The sequence below is a fragment of the Homo sapiens genome, chromosome 2, assembly GCF_000001405.40.
Source record: "Homo sapiens chromosome 2, GRCh38.p14 Primary Assembly".
NCBI classification, from domain to species: domain Eukaryota; kingdom Metazoa; phylum Chordata; class Mammalia; order Primates; family Hominidae; genus Homo; species Homo sapiens.
The window spans coordinates 110,999,391-111,022,775 of NC_000002.12; the positions used below are offsets into that span (position 1 = coordinate 110,999,391).

At 41.3% G+C, this 23,385-nt stretch overlaps 1 protein-coding gene across 28 annotated transcripts in view; it reads left to right on the top strand.

The window, feature by feature from the left end:
- Positions 1 to 23,385, top strand: part of ACOXL (acyl-CoA oxidase like) — a 385,976-nt gene that overhangs the window by 266,818 nt on the left and 95,773 nt on the right. For 2 of the 28 annotated variants that reach the window (XM_011511428.4, XM_017004431.2), the window contains one exon: positions 2,662 to 3,099. The exons of 25 other annotated variants lie outside the window; for them this stretch is intronic. In XM_011511428.4, coding sequence (XP_011509730.1) covers positions 2,662 to 2,730 — 69 coding nt within the window. In that variant the 3' untranslated portion in view covers positions 2,731 to 3,099. Of the gene's footprint in view, positions 1 to 2,661; positions 3,100 to 17,121; positions 22,530 to 23,385 lie in introns of those variants that run through there. One more of the 28 variants, XM_011511429.3, reaches the window with a different exon arrangement.

Sequence of the window (23,385 nt, forward strand, 5' to 3'; positions counted from 1 at the left end):
AATTTAGAGAGACATAATCCAGCCACTACCAGTTGGCAATATTAATCTTATCAAAAGCATTAACCAGAAAGGCAAAATGATGACCTCATAACCATGAGCCTGTATGTGCCAAATACATTTTGTCCTCCAAGATGGACCCCCAAGAATCCCACCTCCTGATAGTCACAGCCTTGAGTGTCTTCTCCATGCTGTACCAGAGTTGGTCTGTGTGACATACAGCAGAAATAATGGCATGTTGCTTCCAGATAAAATACATTATGACTTCCATCTTGGTCACTCTGTTGCACTCTCTCTCTTTATCTCTAATCACTCTGGGCAAAACCATGTCATAAGAATGCCCTATGGGAAGGCCCAGGTGTCAAGGAACTGAAGCTTCCTGCCCACAACCACATGAGTAACCTTGGAAGTGTACCCTGCAGCTCCAGTCACAGCTTCAGAGACTGCAAGCATGGGACAGTCAACACTTGCTGCAACCTCATGAGAGTCCCTGAGCCAGAACCACACCATCAAGCAGCTTCTGGATTCCCAGGCTTCAGAAACTGTGTGCATAATGAACACTTGGTGTAATCCACTAGGTTTGGGGCAGGTTGTTGCACAGCAGCAGATACCTAATCCAGATTTGGGCACCCAAAAGTTGGGTGCTGACATAACAAAAGCCTAAATGGGAGTGTGGGTTTGCACCTATGCAGTTAGCTTTGAGAAGAGTCCTAGTAGAAGCCTAAAGTACCTTGACGAAATTATTACCAGAAACCTTTATGATCTTAACCTGTGGGTGAGGACTTGTAGGAAAATGAGGTAAAAATTATTGGAAACTGGAGGAGGGGGATCCTTGTTACGTAGTGGCATAGCTGTAGCCACACTGTTGCCTGAAGTTATGTGGAAAGTAGAAAATGTACCCAATCAATGAAGTGATCTAGCAAAGGAGATGTCCATCCCGCAAGTTGAAGGTGTTGCCTGCCTTCTTATTGTGGCTTTCAGTGATGTGCAAGAAGAGAGAGAGAATCTCAAGGAAAGAGCTTTTAATATGCAGGACCTGGCAGTTAATATGGTTTTGAAGATCCCTGAGCTCTTCATATGGTCAATGTGTTCATTTCTGAGGGCTTCTGTGACAAACCACCACAGACTAGGTGGCTTAAAACAACAGAGATTTATTTTCTCACAACTTTGGAGACCAGAAATCTGAAATCATGGTGGCAGCAGGGCCCTGCTCCCTCTGAGACCCTGGGTAGAATCCTTCCTTGCCCTTTCTGGCTTCTGGTTGCTACTGGCAATGCTTGATATTCCTTGGCTTGCAGCCGCATCTCTCCAGGCTCCCCCTCTGTCATCACATGACATACCCATGATATCTCCCCATAAGTCTCTGTTGTCTCTTCCGCTTATCAGGGCACTAGTCATATTGGATCAGGACCCACCCTAATTACCTCATTTTAACTTGATTAGCTCTGCAAAGACCCTATTTCCAAATAAGGTCACATTCACAGGTACCAGGGCTTAGTACTTCAACATGTCCTTTTGGAAGACACAGCTTAACCATATCAGCAGACAGTGCTAAAATTAAAAAATTAAAATGGCTTCAGAGCAGAAGTATAATCCAGGACCCTCCCAGAAATGTGTAATCTAAGGATGAAGCCCAAGGCATGACTGTAAAATTCTTTAAGAACCGAAAAAGATTAAAGGTAAGTCTTAAGTCATGCAAAAGGCCTTCTGAGTTTACAAGTATGTCTTTCAGACTCTCTCAATTATACAATAAAGCTCCTAGGAAGCTTGAGGGCATCCTCTGTCAGCCTTCTCAACACCCCCAAGGGCTTATGTCAAAGAGATTTGTGGGTGTGGCTTTTGTCTAATGGAATAAACCTCCCCAAAGATTCACAGGAAATGCACAAAGTTTCTAAGAGAATTATATCAGGCAAAGATCTTTTGGCTTGTGCTGAAAGGTACAGAGACAATACAAAATGAATAGAGCCACTAAGCTTCTGCAATCAGGGAACAAGTGGAGAAAAACAAAACAAAACAAAACAAAACAAAAAAACCCTAGCTATAAACAAGTGCTCCTTTCATTAAAAAGTCAGGATGCCTCAGAGGGAAGAAGCAAGAACCCAGAGGGTGGAGCCAAGGGTCACAGAGAATCAAACCACCTGGGTGTGCATAGGACTGTGCCCTTATTAAGGAACTTCCAACATTTGCTCAACTGGATGTCAGAATTTATATGGACCACTGATTCCTGCATTATTCCCATTTTCCTCATTTTGGAGTAAGAGTGTATATAACAGTTATCCTGTCCCGTCCCACCATTATATATTGGAGGACAGATAACTTGTCTCCTTAGTTAACAGCCTTCAAAGGGAGAGGATCTGTACTTAAGGAATAACACCTGAGGAGCCTTATTTGCACCTAGACTGAATTTAGATGAGGGGATTCTGGACTGTGAGCTGATACCATAATGAGGTGAAACTTTTGTGGGCCTTGGAAGTGTATGTTTTTAGAGGAATGTGAATCATTAAGGATGATTAGGATGGGCTATGATGGCCAAGCTCCAAGACAGTCTTCAACGATCCCTGCCTCCTGTAGTCACGCCCTCATGGAGTGCCCACATTATATCGTTGAAATTGTCTTAGTCTCTGTCTCTCTGTCTCTGTCTTTCTCTCTCTCTCTCTCTGGAAGCCATGTCATGAGCAGCCCATGTTGCAAATAACGGAAACTTATGAATGCACTTGGAAGTGTTTCCTGTAGCCCTAACCAAAGCTTCAGAGACTGCAAGCCTGGGACAGACAGCCAGCAACTGGACTGTCATCTCATGAGAGAATCTGAGCCAACCATGCAACCAAGATATGCCCAGGTTCCTAACTCTCATAGACTGTGAGATGATAATTTTTTTTATTTTAAGATGCTAAATTTTGGGATAATTTGTTATATAGCAATAGGTAACTAATATAACATCCAAAAACAAACAAACAAAAAACTGTTCAAAAGTTTTGGCATTGATATACACATTTTTGAAGCAAAATATAAAGAGGAATTGCAATATTTTTCAACCAATATTTCCATTTAATAATATAATGTGGTTATCTTTCTATGTCAATAAAAACATGATTGCATGAGGTTCTGATGCTTCTGTGTTTTTAGTTATATGGACAATGTCATAATGAATATCCTTAACAGTATGGCTTTCAGACTTTACATGCTACAAAATTGTTCTTTATAAATGTTGAACTAAATTGTACTTTTCCAGCATGGTATTAGGGTCCACATTTCTCCACTAACACTTTATTTCTCCAACTTTCTAAGTTTTTACCGTTAGGGTTTAGGAGTCTATCATCTTCTTTTCATATTTTCATTTTATTTTTTTCCCATTCCCCCTACCCTCCATATTTTTTATTTTATTAATACAGGTTGAATGCTTGGGACAAGAAGTGTTTCCAATGCAGATTTTTTCTGACTTTGGAATATTTGCGTTATACTTGTGAGCATCTCAAATCTGAAAATCTGAAATCCAAAATGCTCTAATGAACATTTTCTTTCAGCATCATGTCAGTGCTGAAAAACTTTTGGATTCTGAAGCATTTCAGATTTCATATTTTTGGATTTAGGATGTTCAATCCGTATTAGAAAAATAGGTCCATTGTAAAATATCTACCTTTAATTTTATTTTCAGCATGAAATTAGAAGCTCTCTGGTACTTCTTAAATATTCAGAAATATTTTCTGCTTATAGTTGTTCTCTGTCAGAGACCAAATCATTCATTTTTTCCTGTGTGTATTTTCTGATTTCAAGAGAAGAAAACATTTACACACACATGAGTAAGTTTCCCAAACATAAAATAAACGTTAGGCATGTGGGGTGGTGAACAAAATTCAAGGGTTTTAGAATCACTGGACTAGGCTGGGTGCGGTGGCTCACGCCTGTAATCCCAGCATTTTGGGAGGCCAAGGCGGGTGGATCACGAGGTCAGGAATTGGAAACCAGCCTGGCCAACATGGTGAAACCCCGTCTCTACTAAAGATTAAAAAAAAATTAGCTGAACCTGGTGGTGGGCACCTGTAATCCCAGCTACTCGGGAGGCTTAGGCAAGAGAATTGCTTGAACCCAGGAGGCGGAGGTTGCAGCGAACCGAGATTGCACCACTGCACTCCAGCCTGGGCGACAGGGCGAGACTCTGTCTCAAAAAAAAAAAAAAAAAAAAAAAAAAAAAGAATCACAGAACTAGCTTTTACCACTTCCGAGCTTCAGTTCTCACATCTGTAATTTGGGAAAACAAGAGTAGGTTATGATATAAATTTGTTACAAGGATGTATTAAGATAAAATGTATTTTAAAAAGCACTAAAAATTATAAACCTTGCACTCGTGTTAAATATCTTGGTTACTACCATTAATGTAACCATTTTTATGGTCAATTCAAATAAATATTCATTAAGCACAGATAGTTTTCTAGGGCCTGGAAGGGGAAGACCACAAAGATTTTGAAAATATGCTCTTGCCTTAAGATAAGTCCACCTCTGGTTTTAGCCCAAGGCAAAATAAAAGATATGATAAATTAAGGCAAAACCTACGAACTTAGAGGAAAGAATATGGACTTCTACATTCTAGTTTGTATTTTTGGCCCGGCTTTTTGCTCAGCTAGCTGTATATTGGCTCATGTCTACCTGCATTAGTTTGGTGTATCTTGACATAAAATGATTCTGTTTAGCAATTTGAACATCTGACCCAAACAGAGTCTGGGCAATAGTCTTTGGACAGTGTCCAAGAGAGGGTGATTTCATCTAGAATTCTGAGATCTTCTAAAAATAACCCTGTGATTTAGTTCAGAATCTTTAAATTAAAAAGGCAAAAACACAAGTGGGTTTTCTCAGAACCCTGCTTTTCAGCTTTCTAGTAATGGTCTTTAATTTTCTTCAAAAGCACATTTTTACTTTAGAGATGCTTGGCCAAACCCTTCTAGGCACATGGGAAGCCCATCTGCCCCTTACCCGGGAGCAAGTGAGAAGGGCTAGCAATCCAAGGTCAAAGTTGGAGAGTCGAGAAGACCATTGAGTTCTCATGAAAGAATAAGCCTTTGCAATCATTTGATAATGCATTCTCCTGCTTGGTGTAGCCAGAATTTCACTTAAAATGGAGCCAGGAAATGCCCTTCCTTCAATGTGTTGGTGGCCATGGAAGGAGTCCAGCCCCCTTGCTTCCCTTGCTTGCCCCACTCCCTGGTTTTCCAAAATCTTGTTGCAAACAACTCGTCATTACAGTTGCTGCATGATTTCGACATCAGTGGGAAGAAAAAATAAACCAATAAACAATGGCTTGTCATCCAGGAACCAATAGGAAAAGGACCAATAGGATGTCCACCAATCAGGGATCTTGATCCAATAGCTTGGAAATGCCATTGATAATGAAACCAGAGAAAATCCATTTCTGGTCAGCTTATACTGTTCTGAGACTTTGAGGGTCGGGACAGAGAACGGAGAGTGATAGCAGCCACTCTGTGTTTGTTAGGTTTTTACAAACCAATACAGTGGCCCGAATGGCAGATGTTTTACAACAATCTCATGGCACAGAAATATCAATTCTGGTAGGGACTTTTGTAGTTCTATGAGGTAAGTCTATGGAGAAAAAGATAGATTCTCAGTAATCAATCTGTTTAACAGATTTCTGTTTATTTTCAAATGTACCTAACAGAAATTGGGCAAATGGAAGGATGAGAATACAGATGGACTTAAAATAGTTCTAATTCTCCAAGGGCTGATTCCTGTTTTCTCTCTCATCACCTGTGGCATTCTCCCACCACATTGGTGGTGTCCCCCACTTCAGGGTGTATAAGACTCACCTGGGAAAGACTAATTTTCAAAATCTGATACAGGTTGCCCTCCATCACACTGCCAGGCTGAGTCCCAAGCGAAAGGCAAGTCATTTGCAAATGAACATCATTAATGATCCTCAAAATCCAGGGGCAGTAAATTCTTTGGAAACAACTGCTCTGAGTTATTTTTCCTTATTCAGATTTAGAGGTTTGGATGGAGAATTGGTGGAGGCTGGAAATAAGATTATTAGAAACATAACTTTCTAGAGCTTCCTGTATAGAAAAATGACTGCCGCCCACAGTTTTTATTGTTGTGGTCAGTGTGCAACCTGACTACTCTTGTGTGTGTTTGACTTTAAACCTCTTAACTTAGATATTTAAAACATAATAAACCGCAGTACTTTTGTAAAGCCTATCTTTCTAACAGATGCCACCTATTCTGTTATAGTTTTAGACCGACAGTGTCTTTGCTCAGGTCACCTGCTTGGGGTTTGGAGTCTCACCTTAGTTCTCTTCTGTGGAAAATGCAAGCTGTCTGTGTTGGCGATTGGGTGGCACACACATATCAAGTGCCTTGGAAGATCACCAATAGGATGTCCACCAATCAGGGATCTTGATCCAATAGCTTTGGTCAGGTGGTAGCTGCTAGATCTAGAGGAACTCAGAAGTGCCATTGATGATGGACCCAGACAGAGAAAATCCAGTGCTGGTCGGTTTGTACTGCTCTGAGACATTGTGGGTAGGGACAGGGAACAGAGAGTGATAGCAGCCATTCTGTGTTTGTTACGTTTTTAAAAACCAATACAGCGGTCTGAATGGCAGATGTTTTACAACAATCTCATGGCACAGAAATATCAAGAGCTTTATTCCAGAGACAGATCATCAAAGACAGGAAATAAAATTAGTAACCAGATTTTCTGAGCTCACAGTTTGCATTGAGCTTGATGTATTTTCTTACTCCTGTGGCTGAGTTGAGTTAGGAAGATGACCTGATGGAGGGGCTCTCTTTGTATCTTCAGAGCATCGATGGCTGCCTGTGCAAAGGTCACCTCGTGTAAAAGTGAGGTTCCCTCTTTGCTCACTGGGGCTTGAAAGTCCTGTACAGGGGAAACATATTCCCATTACTCAGTGAGAGATTAGGCTTAAAACCATGAAACTCCAGAGATAGGGAAAGGACGATGTCGTAGAAAGCTATGCGTGATGGTTCAGGAAGGGATAGCTGACGATCTGGGGAGACCTAGGAGTGTACAAGCGGGAACATCTGAGGCCAATTGTAACCAACTCCCAGAAGTACAGTGCTCCCAAGCCTTAGCTTGGCACTTCCCTCTTTGTTGTGGCTGATTGTAGGAATGTTCTTCTTTTGTTTTGTGGTGTTTCCCTCTTTTTTTTTTTTCTTTTTTGAGATGAAGTCTCGCTCTGTCACCCAGGCTGGAGTGCAGTGGTGCAATCATGGCTCACTGCAACCTTCACCTCCTGGGTACAAGCTATTCTCTTGCCTCAGCTTCTCAAGTAGCTAGGATTACAGGCATGTGCCACCACGTCTGGCTAATTTTTGTATTTTTAGTAGAGATGGGATTTCGCCATGTTGATCAGGCTGGTCTCAAACTCCTGACTTCAAGTGATCTGCCCTCCTCAGCCTCCCAAAGTGCTGGGATTACAGGCATGAGCCACCGCACCCGGCTGTCTTTCTCTCTTTTCTACTGCCTAACAACCCAGACACCAGTTAATACTAGGAATTGCATTTTCTCTTTTTCCTTCACTTCTTTCTCCATCTTTTTTCTCATAGAGAGCATCCTTAAATTCTCTTCCTAGGGAATCCTGTTATGGAAGAGAATGGAAAGAAAAGAAGGAAGGGGAGGCAAAGATAAGGAAAAGGAAGAAGTTACACTCCTGATAATTACATGGAAAGTACAGTCACTCCCATGGGAGTATGAGAGCTAGAAGAGACCCTGGGAGTCACATAGTGCAACCCACTCATTTACAGATAGGCAACCTAGGATCAAGAAAGCTAATGGTTTCTTCAAGGCAATACAGTCACCAAGGGCAAAGATGCGACTGATATTTGAATATGCAGATACCCTATTTTTCCTCAAACTTTCACCTATTATTTTTAGTATCCATCAGTGGATCTTTTTGGAAACAATTAATACTGTGGTGTTTGCCTAGTAGGGATTTTCTATTTTCCTCATTCCTACCACTTTATTAATGGGAAGCAAGAGTTGTCTCTTCTCCAATTATTTATTTATTCAATTAATTATGACTTATGTCAGCATGCAGTCACAGATATTTATTTTATGCTTTGGGTTACAATCCAATATTATGATTTATTTATTTTCTTGCCAATTGTTCCAAGCATTAACGTTGAGAGCTCCTTCAGGTTGGCCCCTGTGTCCCTTTGAAGTGCCTCTATCCTTTTTTGAGTACTTCCTTACTTTATTTCTCATCTTGTAGTTTCCCTGCCAACCCTGCAGTCAATCATTTCTCCAAGGAGAGCTGGTTCTTTTTCCTAGAGAATGGTATTTAAAAACCAGCATCTGGTCTCTGGGTGTGCTCATTGCTACTGAGTTGTTGCTGCTTCTAGGCCTACCCAAAGCTATGAAGTAAACTCACGTATATTAACTCACGCATTTGCACACAGATCTGTATGCACGTATATTAGAAATCATGAGTTTATACTGATAACTCTGATTCCAATTCAAACAACAGGGCTTTTTTCTAGCCTGCCCTCTTTCCTATTTCAAACATTCTTCTATGAGAAAGCAGAAACCTGGCTTTCATTGTCTATTGTATGTTTACATATTTGCTCACCCCCTGTGTACACAACAAGTAGTTTCAGAATTGCTAACTCATACCCTGGTGAGAGACACATTTACTAACTGGAATACGGTATTTTTCTTTGTGAATTTAACCTTACAGTATCTAGTCAAAACAGTATTTCCGAAGTTTCTTTAATTAGCCTTTTTTTCCCCCTCTTTTGGTGTGGTTTTATTACTTATAACAAGTTAGGTTCATTTGTAACTACTTGCATTTTACTTTGGGTTTCCTCTATATCCTGGTTGCTTTTAGTTAATCATTTTTTGGCTAAGCGAAATATTACTAAGTTTCTAATATTCAGTGCTATACACAAAAGTGTACTCAGAGAGCTACCACTCTTTCCTCATTCCAGCTACCCCCTTTCCATCACTTCCCTTTTTTCCTACATACCTCATGTAGGTGGCAAGATATCTTTAGTCTCTGGCTTATCCTTCCTGTATTTCTTTCACACATAGAGATCTACCTCATTCATTTTTTTACAGCCACAGAATAATCTATGTTATGGATATACTGTAGCTTACTCCACCCCTCTCTTGTGTATTTAATCCTTCCTCCCAACCTTTGGTCATTACAAACAACGTTACAGTGAATAACCTTATTATATAAATTTTAGTGTTGTTTGAATTATATCTTCAGGGTAGGTTTCTAGAAATGTTGTTGTTAGGCTCAAAGGTAAGTGCATTTGTAGTTTTGTTAGGTATTGCCAAATTCTCCTCCAGAGGATTTGTACAGTTTTCATTCCACTGAGTGAAGTCTGTTTCCTCAAAGTCTCATCAATAGAATGTGTTCTAATATTTTTCAATTTTTGCCAGTTTGATAGGTGATCAATGGTAACTTCATGTAGCTCTAATTATGAGTGCTTTTGAGCAGTTTTTCATCTGTATAAGGGTCATTTTAATATGTTTTCAATGTATTGTCTGCTCATATTATTTTCCCATTTTTCCATAGGGTTTTGGTATTTGGTCCATCAATTTTGAAGAGTACTTTCTACATTAAGAATTGTAGCCTTTTGTCATATTGAAAAAATTTTCTCCCAGTTCGTCACTTGTCTTTCGACTTTGTTCATGTTTGCCGTGCAAACTTTTTAAAATTTTTTTATATAGTCAAATGCAGTAATCTATTTTTTTATTGCATCTGGACTTTAACTCACAGAAAAAGCCTTTCCCTTCACTTAGGTTAAAGATAAACTCATTTCATGAAAGCCTCAATATTGTTTTAGGGAGTCAGAAAATGGAGTTTGAGGCTAGGCATGGTGGCTCACGTCTGTAATCCCAGTACTTTGGGAGGCCAAGGTAGGCAGATCACTTGAGGTCAAGAGTTCGAGACCAGCCTGGCCAACATGGTGAAACCCCACCTCTACTAAAAATGCAAAAATTAGCCTGGCTTGGTGGTGTGTGCCTGTAATCCCAGCTACTCAGGAGGCTGAGGCAGGAGAATTGCATGAACCTGGGAGGTGGAGGTTGCAGTGAGCCAAGATCACGCCACTGCACTCCACCCTGGGTGACAGAGCAAGACTCCGTCTCAAAAAAAAAAAAAAAGAAAAGAAAAGAAAATGGAGCTTGAGACTGCCAAGATTAGTGAAAATGAAGGAGGAACATCCCAAAAAGAAAGAAGCCGCAGAGAGGGAAGCTTCAAAATACATGTATGAATACCACTCAAATCCATGACTGATCCCTGGAATATCCATGAGTGGATAAGATGCCAAAGAGCTCAAGGGGTTTTAAAGTTGGAAGCTTTAAAGAGCAGAACAGAGAACTCAACTATTGCCCACCACACAGGAGTCAGAATTTTTAGTCTGAATCCTGCCAAGTTAGAGGGATGTGGTAAACTCATGCCTTAGGAGTAAAACTATGTCTCAGGAAAAGGGATTGCCTAAGGACTGAAGCTACAACCAAAAGAGGCTAAAGGCAAGCCAAAATATATTCTTCCTGACAAAGCATAAAATCAAGACTCTATAAATTCAAGTTTATCTGCTAGTGTTTTAACTGCATGCTAGAATAAGACTCAATACCCTTTAGAGGAAGTCAACAGGATTTAGGGTCAGTATCATTATAGTGTCCACTAGATACTTAAATATTATCAGGCATGGGAAGAAATAGGAACACATGATCCATAGCCAAGAGAAAAATCATCAAGAGAAGAAGACCCCAAAATTCCCAGATATTGAAATTAGCAGACAAGGGCTTTTAAAAAATATGAATTTATAAAAGAGTAGGTGGAACATATGAATAAAAGGGATGAAGAGAGAGGAAATTTCAGGAGATTGTTGAACGATATGAAAAAGGAAACCAAATGGAAATTCTAGAACTGAAAAATACAATAGTATTAATAAAAAAATAAATGGATGGGATTAACAACACACTGGGCAAAAAGAGAAAAGTGTCAGTGAACCTGATTAATAGAAATCATTTGAACTAAAACACATAAAGAAAAATATTGATAAAATAATCAGAGCCCTCATGACCTGTGGGGTAGTAACACACACTCTAACATATATGTAATTGGAGTCTAAGAAGGAGATGAGAGAGAGAATAGCATAGAAAAAGGATTAGCCAAATATTTTTTAAATTTTTATCAATAATGACAGCACATAAATTCAAGATTCTAGCAGGAGAGGATGAAAAACAAACAAATATAAAAATAAGAGCCCATCATAGTATAATTGCTGAAAACTAAAAATAAAGAATAAATCTTAAAAGTTAGAAGAGAACAAAGAACATTAGATGCAAGAAATAATGGTAGAATGATGGTTCACTTTTCATTAGAAATTGTATAGCCAAAGGACAATAGAAAGATATCTTTACCGTGCTGCTGAAAGCAAAAAAGAATCTACCTTGAGCTCTGAATCCAGTCGTGTGTGCATATGTGTATGTATTAAAATGAAATAAAAGCATTTTCAGTAATAGAATTTGTCACCAACAGACCTATACTACAAGAAATGCTAAGGAAGGTACTTTAAGCTAAACAAAATGAAAGTAAATGGAAATGCAGATCTAAAGTAAGGAAGAACACTGAAAATGCTAAACATATAAGGAACTATTAAGGACTACTTTTTTTGTCTTAAGCCTTTTTGAATTCAATTGATGGTTTATAGCAAAATAATTACAATTATTTAGGGTTTATGGCATATATAAAAGTGAAATGTATGGCAAAAATAATGTAAAAGATAGGTTGTAGTGTAAATGGAATTATGCTATTATAAGATTTTTACATAATATATGAAGTAGTATCATATTAATTCAAAGCAGACTGTTATAGGTAAAGACTATAGATTGTAATATAGGAGGTAGTAGACTGAGACAAAAAGGAAAACCCTTAATCTGAAAGAAGACATGGAAGAAGAAACAAAAATCAAAGGAGAAGGACTACAAATAGCAGTATGACAGACTTATACCCAACAATATCAATAATTACATTAAATGTAAATGGCCCCAATATTCTAATTAAAAGGCAAACATTGTTATAGAAGGTTAAAAATAAGCAAGGGTCTTCCATATGCTTTGAATGGAAAGACAAGGACAGGAAAAGATATAGCATGCAATTACTGAGCATGAGAGAGACTATGTTAATATCAGATAGAGGAAACTTTAAAACAAGGAATGTTACCAGGGACCAGGTGCAGTGGCTCATGCCTGTAGTTTCAGCACTTTGGGAGGCTAAGGTGGGCAGATCGCTTGAGCCCAGGAGTTTGAGACCAGCCTGACCAATCTGGCAAAACCCTGTCTCTACTAAAAATACAAAAATTAGCTGGGTGTGGTGGTAACACAGCTGTTATCCCAGCTATTTGGGAGGCTGAGGCATGAGAATCACTTGAGTCCAGTAGGTGGAGGTTGCAGTGAGCCAAGATTGCACCACTGCACTCCAGCCTGGGCAGCAGAGTGAGACTCTGTTAAAAAAAAAAAAAAAAAAAAAAAAGGAGTGTATTACCAGGGATAAAGAAAGTCATTTTTTGATTATTAAAGGATAATTTCATCAAGAAGACAAAATAATTCTACACAGGTATACTCCATAATAGAGATTAAAAATACATGAAACAGAAATTGACAGAACCATGGAAGAAATAGACAAATTCAGTAATTGATGAAATAAGTAGGTAAAAATGTAATATGACTATAGGCATACCTCATTTTATTGTGCTTTGTTTTATTGCATACTGCAGATGTTGTGTTTTTTACAAATTAAAAGTTAGTGGGAACACTGTGTTAAACTGGCCTCTTGGTGCCATTTTTCCAACAGCATATGCTCACTTCATGACTCTGTTAGAATTTTTTTAGCAATAAATAATTTTTTTGAGGTGCCTACTTTTTTTAGACATAACGTTATTGCACACTTAGTAGAATATAGTGTAAATGTAACTTTTATGTGCACTGGGAAACCAAAAAGTTTGTGTGACTTGCTTTATTGACATATTTGCTTTATTGCAGTGGTCTGGAATCAGACTTACAGTATCTCCAAGGTATGCCTGTATAGAAGATGTGAATAACACTGTCATCTAATTCAATCTTCTTGATATTTGTAGGCATTTATTGAAAACTACACCCAGAGCTACAGTGCTGGCCATAAAACAAATCTCAATAATCCTTAAAAAGATTAAAGTAATGCAGAGTGTATTCTATGTTGACAATGAAATTAAATTACAAATTAATAACAAAAAGATATCTGGAAAATCTTCCAAATATTTGGCTATTAAGAAACACAGGTCTAAATAACTTGTGAATAAAAGAAGCAATCACAAGGGGAATTAGAGAATATTTCAAACTGAATGGTAATGAAAACACAACATACTAAATTTTGTGAGGTGCAGTAAAAGGGATCCTTAGAGGGAAATTCATAGCTTGAAATGCTTATCTTAGAAAATATTTTTAAAAAGGTTTTAAATAAATGATGCAAGTTTCTACCTTAAGAAGCTAGAACAAGAAGAGCAAAATCAGTAGAATAAAGGTAACAATAAAGATGAGAGATAATGAAATAGAAAACAAACTATAGAGCAAATCAATAAGCCCAAAAGTTTGTTCTTTGAAATGTTTAATAAAATTTCTTGATCCCTAGCAAGACTGATCAGGAAAAAAAGATAAAGTACAAATTAACAACGTCAAGAATGAAAGCGGATATTATAATGTCATACCACATACTACAGACATTATACAATATGAGAATATTATGAACAACTTAATGCAAACAAGTTCAGTAACTTAGAATAAATTCCTGGAAAAATACAGCTCTCAAAAGTTAACAACAACAAAAAAAATGGGGGCCAGGTGCGGTGGCTCATGCCTGTAATCCCAGCACTTTGGGAGGCCAAGGCATGTGGATTGCTTCAGGTCAGGAGTTTGAGACCAGCTGACCAACATGGTGAAACCCTGTCTCTACTAAAAATACAAAAATTAGCCAGGTGTTGTGGCGGGCACCTGTAATCCCACTGCTTGGGAGGCTGAGGCAGGAGAATCACTTGAACCTGGGAGGCAGAGATTGCAGTGAGCTGAGATCACCCCACTGCACTCCAGCCTGGGTGACAGAGGGAGACCCTGTCTCAAAAAAAAAAAAAAAAAAAAAAAGAAGTAAAAGAAAAGGAAGATCTAAAAATGTCTGTTAAATGAATTTAATTCGCTTTTTTTCTTTTCTTTTCTTTCTTTTCTATTTTATTCCATAACAACAACGTTTCAGTCAAAATGAATTTAATTTGTAATGAACACATTCCCACAAAGAAAGCTCCAGGTCCAGATGGTTTTACTGTTGAATTCTATCAAACATTTAAAGACAAAATAGTATCAGTCTTACATAAAACTCTTTCAAAAACCAGTGTAAGACTGATACCCAAAATTAGTAAGTACAGTACAAAGAAAACAATTACAAACAAATATTCTCCACGAATATAGGTGAAAATACATAATAGAATACATCATAACAAAGTAGTGTTTATTATAAGAATGCGAGGTTGGTTTAATAGTCAAAACATGTCAATAAAATATACAATACTAACAAAGGAGAGAGCATATGATTATATTATGGGGAAAATATATTTGATGAAATCCAACATGAGCTGATGATGAAAAGTCTCAGCAGAGCAGAAATAGAAAGGAATTTCCTCAATTTTTGGAGAGTATATCTACAAAAGAACCTACAGCTAACCTCATACCTAATAGTGAAATATTACACACTTTTCTCCTAAAGACGGAACAAGGCAAGAATGTCCAGTTTACTACTTTTATTTAACATTGTATTGGAGGGCCTAGCCAGTGCAACGAGACAGGAAAAAAGAAATAGAAGAATTTACCAAACTAATAGCTCAAAACAGGGCTACAGGACACAAACTCAATATCTAAAACGAATTTTGTTTTATATGTTATCAAACAATTGGAAAATAAAATTTAATTTACAATATCATCTAAAAACATGAGTTTCTTAGGAACACATTTAATAGTAAAACCAAAACATGCAATATCTGTACACTAAAGACTACGTAACACCCAAGGAATAATTGAAGCAAGCCTAAGTAACTGGAGTAGTATGCTGTGCTTGTGTATGGGAAAACTCCACATTGCCATAATGTTCATCCTCCTGAAATTAGCCTATAGATTCAGCACCATTTCAAGCAAAATCTTGGCAGGAATGTTTGTAGAAACTCATAAGCTGATTTGACAATCACATGGAAATGTGAATGGCCTAAAATAGCCCAAACAACTTCAAAAAACATTGAAGAAATGTAGAGGGATTGTACTACCTGATTTCAAAGCTTGTGCTAATGCTTCAATAATACAGACATGGTACTGGCATCAGAATAAGCAGAGAGATCAATGGAACACTACAGAGTCCAGAAATTGACCCACATGTATATGTTCACTTGATTTTTTGACAAAGGTATGAAGGAAATTCAATGATGAAAAGAATTTTTTAATAGTGCAGGAAACATCTAGATATCTGAAGGAAAATAAATTAACTGTGACCTTCTTTTCTGCATAATACACAAAGGTTAATTTGAGATTGATCATAGACTTCAATGTAAAAGGGAAAAACTATAAACTTCTCAAAAGAAAACATAGGAGAATATCTTTGGGAAGTTGGCATAAACTGAGATTTCTCAAAAAGACACAAAAAGTACTAATTGGTAAATTAAATCTTGATAAATTGAATCTTTTCCAAAAGTGAACATTTTTCTTCTCTAAAAGATATCATTAAGAACATACAAAGACAAACCATAGCCTTGGAGAAATTATTTGCAATACCTGTATCTGGCAAAACACTTCTATCCAGAATATATAAAGAATACCTACAATGCAATAATGTATAGATACAACCCAGGAAGAATTGCACAAAAAGCTTTAAAAGATATCTCATAAAAGAATATAAAAGAATGGTTAATGAGCACATGCAACTTTGCCTAATTTGTGTTAGTCATCCCAGAAATGGAAATTAAAACCACAGTGAAACACCACGACACACCCACTGAAATGATTAAACTAAAATGATTGACAACACTCCATCCTGGCAATGCTACAAAGCAACCAAAGCTCTCATAATGGCTATCTGAAATCTAAAATGGTAATCACCACTCTGGAAGACAGAGTGGCAGTTTCTTATAAGGTTAAAAGTACACCTATACTATGAGCCAGCAATTCCCTTCCTAGATATTTGGCCAAGAGAAATTAAAATATATTCTCACAAAAAGACTTGTACAGGAATGCTCATAACAGCTTTATTAATAATATCCAAAAACCAGAAACAGGAAGCCAAATGTTCAACATGACACTAGATAAATAAACTGTGATATCTGTCATACATTGGAATACTGCTTGGCAATAAAAATGAATAAACTGCTGCCACATGGAACAACATATGTGAATTTTAGACATTATGTTTAGTGAAAGAAGCCTGACACAGAATAGTTAATACTGTATAATTCCATTTATGTGCCATTCAGTGAGGGGTGAAATTAGTTTTGTTTCTGTTTTCTTTTGTTTTAGAGACGGGATCTTACTCTGTTGCCCAGGCTGGAGTGCAGTGGTACAATCATAGATCACTTCAACCTCTACTTCCTGGGCTCAGGCAATCCTCCTGCGTCAGCCTCCTGAGTAGCTAGGACTATGGGCATGTCCCACCACGCCTGGCTAATTTTTTTAATTTTTTTTTTTGAGTTAGGGTCTCACTGTATTGCCCAGGCTGGTCTCAAACTCCTGACCTCGAGTAATCCTCCCTCCTTGGCCTCCCAAAGTGCTGGGATTACAGGTGTGAGCCACTGTGCCTGACCCCAAACCAGTTGATGGTGATCTGGTGATCACAGTCTGAGGGGAGAGGGTGGTACTGCCTGGTGGGGGAGTTCAGAGAGAGGGTATAGGAAATGTTCTGTATCTTGATCTGGGTGATTCCATGGGCATATGTGCATGTAAGGAATCCTGGAGCTTTAAACTTAAGACTTACGTGTGCTACACATCTGACTGTATGTGTTTTCTACTTCAGTGAAAACATTTACAATTATAACTTAAACAGGTCCTCACAGCAGTCAGACAGATTGTTTGCATTACAGGTACTGTCTTTTCATGTGAAAATGGAAGTTTAGAAATCTAGAACAGGCTTCAGCTGCTGAATCTTGATACACCTACTGGGGGAAGAAGCAATGGCTAATGACAACAGCTCACACTCATCACGTGTCCATCCTGGGCCAGGCCCCGTGCTAGGCACTTTGCAGTGTTACATCGAAAAATGGCAGTGGGTGCCCAGGCCAGCCAGCAGCATGGAATCCAGGTAGCAGGGTGACTGACAGATGGTGGGGGTGGTCTGTACCAGTAGCCAGGGTCACAGAAGCCTGGCAAGAGGCAAGCAGTGGAGGGCTGGCCCTGAACACAGGCAGATGGGCCCTAGAGAGTCTGGATATTCTATTCACTGGGGAGGATGGACCCCTGGAAGCAGGGCCCCAGCAAGATGGTGAGGAAGGGCCAGTCATGGAGTTGGGCAAATCAGCCAGCAAGATAATGGGACAAGACAGAGCTCAGTTTCAGAAACAGGCAAATCAATGGGGACATGTGACAAGCTCTGGTCTCATGACTGAAGAGCATACAATTGAAGTGACATTTTCCAGCTTACCCTACACCAATTGCTAGTGAGTTTGACTTGGCGTAAGTGACAACACCGCACTACAGTTTCTTGAAGTTCCCCCCTGATTAGGGAGCAGACTTGCCCTGGGGTGAGGCATTACTGGAGGTGGTGGTATTGGGGTGTGCAGAAATGAGCCTGTTATTCTATTTTGCCCTGTCTGCACAAGGCCAGAGGGCAGGCCCTCGTGGTGAGCTGGGATCACAGACATTTGTTGAGTTCCTGCCATAGCGAGGAACTGTTCAGAGTCCATTGTCTTGCCACATAACCAGCAATCTTACCGCAGAACTGAGAAAAGGGACCCCAGAAAGTTGTCAGACCACACGCCCTCACCATTTCTGCGCAAGCTCAGCAGTGGCAGCAGCTTCCTGCCTCCAGCAGCACAGTAGGGTGGGGACATTTCTGCCACTAGAGGCCAAGTGGGGAGCAGTGGCCTTTATTGGGGAGGAGGCATTTAGAACCAAGCATGCAGGTGACATGCATGATTAGGACACAGCAGAGAAAGAAGTGCAGAGAAGGGAGAGAGGGGAGTCAGATTCATCCCCGTCAACGCCTTCACCTTCTCTGGGGGCAGTGCTAACTCCAGCCTGCCTGCTTGCCAGCTTCGTGGCTTAGCGGTGGAGAACCATGGCCACTTACTGACCTAGAATTCCATGTGGCAGCTCTTGGTGACCTGTTCAGATTCCTGCCCCTCCTTCCCTGCTTGCCAGCACCTTGGGCAGTTAGGTAGTGTGGTTCTGGTTTGGTTAGTGGTATTGTAGTTGTTACTGTTGTTTAATCCCTGATATTGTTTCGCTCCTTACTGGCAGGTATCTGAAACCTCTCTCCCTGCCGCTTGCAAAGACATTCATAAGTTTTCTTGAAGTTCTGAAAAGTGAGTGGGTTTTAGTATTCTTAAAGGCTTAGCCAAAAATGTAAGTCCCTTAGTTACGGTAAAATACATAAAAATGCTTAGTTGAAACTTCAAATATATAGCTAAATAAAAAATTAAGGAACAAAATGACCTGTAAACATTTTTATTTTTGCTGACTAGGTCCTTTAAAAAAAATGCTGCTTACCAGTTCTGAGGTGTGAGGATGACAGTTCCTGTCCCCGAGGAACTCTGTCTGGGAGGGAAGGATGGCAGGGGAAGTGCAGGGAGAGGGGACGGAGGAGGGAGCAGCGGGGAGGGAGGAGGCACATACCGTGGGGTGGGCTTGGTGCATAGGGGCTAGGATAGCCGTGAGACTGGAACTGAGTCTGGAATAACAAATGGCAGAGCGTGCCCTGTCCTATCATCCCCAGGCAGAGAGTGGGACTGACCTTTGAGGCAAGGCATGGGGATGTCAGTGAGTGACTGGCAAGTTCAGCCTGGGCGTGAAGCCCATCAGTATCCCATTGGGTCACAGGCTAGAGAGGCTGACGGACAGGGTGATTGGGTGGCGGATGGGCCCACAGTCTTGTGTGCCCTGTGTGAGGCTGTGGACCTTCCATTTCTCCCTTCCCTGTAGGGGTCATGGCCTGATCACATGGGAGTTCTAGGGAGAGCCTTCTGAGGTCCGTGCTGAGAGAGTGACCATTCAAAGGCCGTAGTAACCAAGGGCCCAGAAGAGTGAGGATGCAGCCCGAGCTTGGGTGGTAGCAGAGAGGCTGGAGGGGGTGTTGGTGGGACTTGGGACGCTGTGATGGGGAGCGAGCTGAGGGAGGGGTCAAAGCTGGGAAGAGAGGATGCCATAGTGGAGTTGGAGACACAGAGCCCCAAGGAGCCCCAAATTGCAGTTGGGTTAGCACTTCCCTTGCCAGTCCCTTCTTCACTGGATTTGCCCCAAACCCCTCATGGGGTGGATTTTCCGCATACTATACCCATCACCTCCCACTCACAGCCCCAAGAATGCCTCCTGCAGCTGCCTCATGGGCCCAGCACCAGCTGAGCTGCTGCAGAGATTCAGGAAACAAAGATCTTGAGGCCTAATTTCTTTCCCATATTAAATGTACATTTTTCTGCCTTATGTCAGCTTTAAGCAGTCACTAAGGGCAGTCAGGTTCCATAACATAGTCTTCAGCTGAACGTGAAGATCATATTATTGAAACAAGATCTTTCTAGCTGACCGTACTCCAAATGCATGCTTTGGTGCCTGTAAAATCTATTTAAGGCCTCCTGATTTTCCCCTTTCTATTCCTCCATCCACCAGGACAGTTAAGGAGGAACTTTCAAAATGAGGAAACTGTTAAAAAATGGGAGAAAGTATCAAACATTTATTTACACATCTGTTGTTGGAAATTACCAAGATCAATTTCAGGAGAGTAGAGTTCAAATGCGTGCTAAATGACCAAAAAGAATGGATCATCCAACAATCATTTTCTATTCCGAAAGGCTCGGTAATGAAAACCGGACTCTTCATTTGACACAAAAGGGAAGAAGGAGGAGAAATTGGAAAGTAATATATTCAATTATAGAAGCCCTTTGCCAAGGCCCTGTTGATTTCATGTTCTGACAGTTTCAGTTAAGCCTCAACAGGGAAAAGTTTCAGAAACAGGTCAGATCAAACACGTACCGTTTCCCACTCCTGGAACTCGTGTGTGTGACAAAAATGGTCAAGTCTTCACCAGGCATAGACTTTGTCTTTGGGGTCTGTTTATATTGCCGGACTCCAGACCAGAGCTTGGAAGACAGCGTGCGTGAAAGAAGAGGCTGCAGAGATCCTGGCAGGCCCCGCAACTGCCGTGCAGTGAGTGGCTGACCCCCTGTGCTGAATTTGCTCTATTTCTCTGCCCTCTGAATCCACACTGAATTCACTTTCTTTTTCTTTTTCTTTTTTTTTGAAACGGAGTCTCCCGCTATCACCCAGGCTGGAGTGCAGTGGCACAATCTTGGCTCACTCCAACCACTACCTCTCCGGTTCAAGCGATTCTCCTGCCTCAGCCTCCCGAGTAAATGGGATTACAGGCACATGCCACCACACCCAGCTAATTTTATATTTTTAGTAGAGATGGGGTTTCACCCTGTTGGCCAGGCTGGTCACGAACTCTTAACCTCAAGTGATCCACCTGCCTCGGCCTTCCAAAGTGCTGGGATTGCAGGCATGAGCCACCGTGCCTGGTGAATCCACTTTCTTTTCTGCTCCCACCTGGTGCATCCATCTCTACTCTCACCACCCATCCGTGGGTGGGGCTTCCTTCATGTGGTCATTGCCTGACCAGGCTCCCCGTGCTGTGCTGGTTGCTGGGGTGGTTGCAGTCCTGCCCCAGTCAGAGCAGCGCTCGCATGGCAGCATGTCAAAAGTTTCTGTGGTGGACATGCCGGCTTGGTGGGAGCTCCCAGGAGGATGCCTGAATCACTCTGGGGATGGAGAGCTGGTGGGGGGCTTCCTGATGAGGTGTCTTACATTCTTGAAACCAGGAGGAGGTAGTTAGGTGGTGGAGGGTATTCTGGTGGAGAGAATTGCATGTACAAATATCTGAAGCAAGAGAGTGATGTGTGCTCTGGATATGGTTCAGGATAGCGGGAAGCCGTGTGTGTGTGCACATGTGCATGTGCATATGTGTGTGTATCTTTGAATATACATTTACTGAGACCCTCCCCTGCACCAAACACCATTGAGAAAGATGATATTTTTGCTGCTGTGAACAAGACAGTCTGCTAGGAGCCCCCTTTGTGAACAATGATGTGGGCTCTCATGCAGCTGTGCTGAACCAGCTGTGTTGGGGCCTGGGGACCAGGAGGGCCAGACAGATCGTATTCTTTGGAGCCATATTTATTTGGGTTCCAGTGTGTGACCTAGAGACAGATGTTGAACTCTTCTGAGACTCCTCTGTAAAAGCAGAATGTCTTTCTTACACAGCACTTCAGTGCAGTGCTTGGAACATGGAAGGTGCTCAGTATGTCCTGGTTGCTGGACCCATTCATAGCATTATCAATGCCATCGATCACTTTGGCATTGTGTTTTTCTAGGAAAATGTGTTGTGAATTCCAGCCTTGCACCTCAGGGGCACGCCTCCCTAGACAGGGACTATTTCACCTGCTCCACCTTGCAGAACTGTCACCTGCCACATTCTGAGCAAAGGGAGATTCTGGTGCAGAGGAGGCTGGGACAGGCAAGGGTGGCAGGGGCGAAGGGTAGAGGAGTGGGCCAGTGGAGGAAAGCACCTTGTACTTCAACTCTGACCTGGGCTCAGCATTTCACTGGGTCTCAGAGACCAGACAAGAATCCTGCAGCTGGCCCCCGAATCCGGGATACAGTCCTGTCTGGGCACTTCTCTTTCTCCGTGGGAAACAAGCTGGGAACTGTGGACATCAGGGTGCTCTCTGTATCCTTTCTCCCATATTCCCTTTTTCTCATATGTAGCAGGATGTTGAGGGAGATTTGTTTACCCTGCTGTCTTGGAATTCTAGCTCAGTTTCAAAGCTTAGGGCAAAGGTGCCAAGAATCCCACATTCTCATCTCAGAAGCCACCAGTGAGCCGCTGGCTACTGGGCCCAGCCCCCTTATTCTCTGGGAGACTCTCCTTGAGGACCTGCCACACCTGCCCTTCAGTACAGAAAGAGGGCATCTCAGAGCTCAGGAAGAGAGGCTGCGGGTGGAGAGGGGAGGACCCTCTTCCCAAAGCCAAGCAGAGGAAACCAAGTTTAATAGAGAAAATATCTAAAGATGAAAGGGAGGAATCATTTGGAGTGCAAATACATGAGAGAAGAGTGGAAGTTGAGACACTTGAATTAACCCAGGAAACAAGAGAGAACACCACAAGGAAAAAGAGATAGAAATACAGGAATAAAAATAAAAACGAGATCTGTTTCTGGGGAATGTAAAAAAGAAAAAAAAGAAAAAACTTGGAAGGACCAAGGAATACAGAAAGGCAGAAAAACACGGCAAAATTAAAAATATAGAAGAGTAAAAAAGTGCTTATGTAAGCCCAGAAAAAAAGACAGAACTCATCTAGACCAGAGAGAGAGAGATGAAAAAATACAGAATAGAAAAAATTGTAAAGACGTAATACAGAAAGAAAAATATAGGAAGGCCGGACGTGGTGGCTCATGCCTGTAATCCCAGCACTTTGGGAGGCCGACGCGAGCAGATCACCTGAGGTCAGGAGTTCAAGACCAGCCTGACCAACACTGGCCAACATGGTGAAACCCTGTCTCCACTAAACAAATACAAAAATTAGCCAGGCATGGTGGTGGGCGCCTGTAATCCCAGCTACTTGGGAGGCCAAGGCTGGAGAATCGCTTGAAACCAGGAGGCAGTGGTTGTGGTGAGCCGAGATCGTTCCACTGCACTCCAGCCTAGGTGACAAGAGCGAAACTCCATATCAAAAAAAAGAAAAAGAAAAATACAGGAAGACAGACAAATATATAAAGACCCCTCCTCACACACACACACACACACACACACACAAAGGCACACACAAGAAAGAAAGTCAAACCGGAAGAGAGACAGGAAGATAGAGATGGGGCTGAGCAGATGAGGGATGGTCCCTTCCTGCCCCTGGCACAGGCAGGGGCGGGCTTACATCTGTCAGGATACCCCCAAGGCAAGCAATGGCATCTGGAGGTGCTTCTGGGGACCCCGAGGAAGGCAGCCGCGTGTTCTGCCCACATCAGCCAGTGCAGTCACAGAGAGGTGTGGGCAGGACCCCCAGGGGCCCCCAGACCTCCCAGCCAGGGCCAACCAGGAGGCAGGGAGGGCTCCTAGGGGCCTGCAGCAGAGGGAGGCGAGGGCAG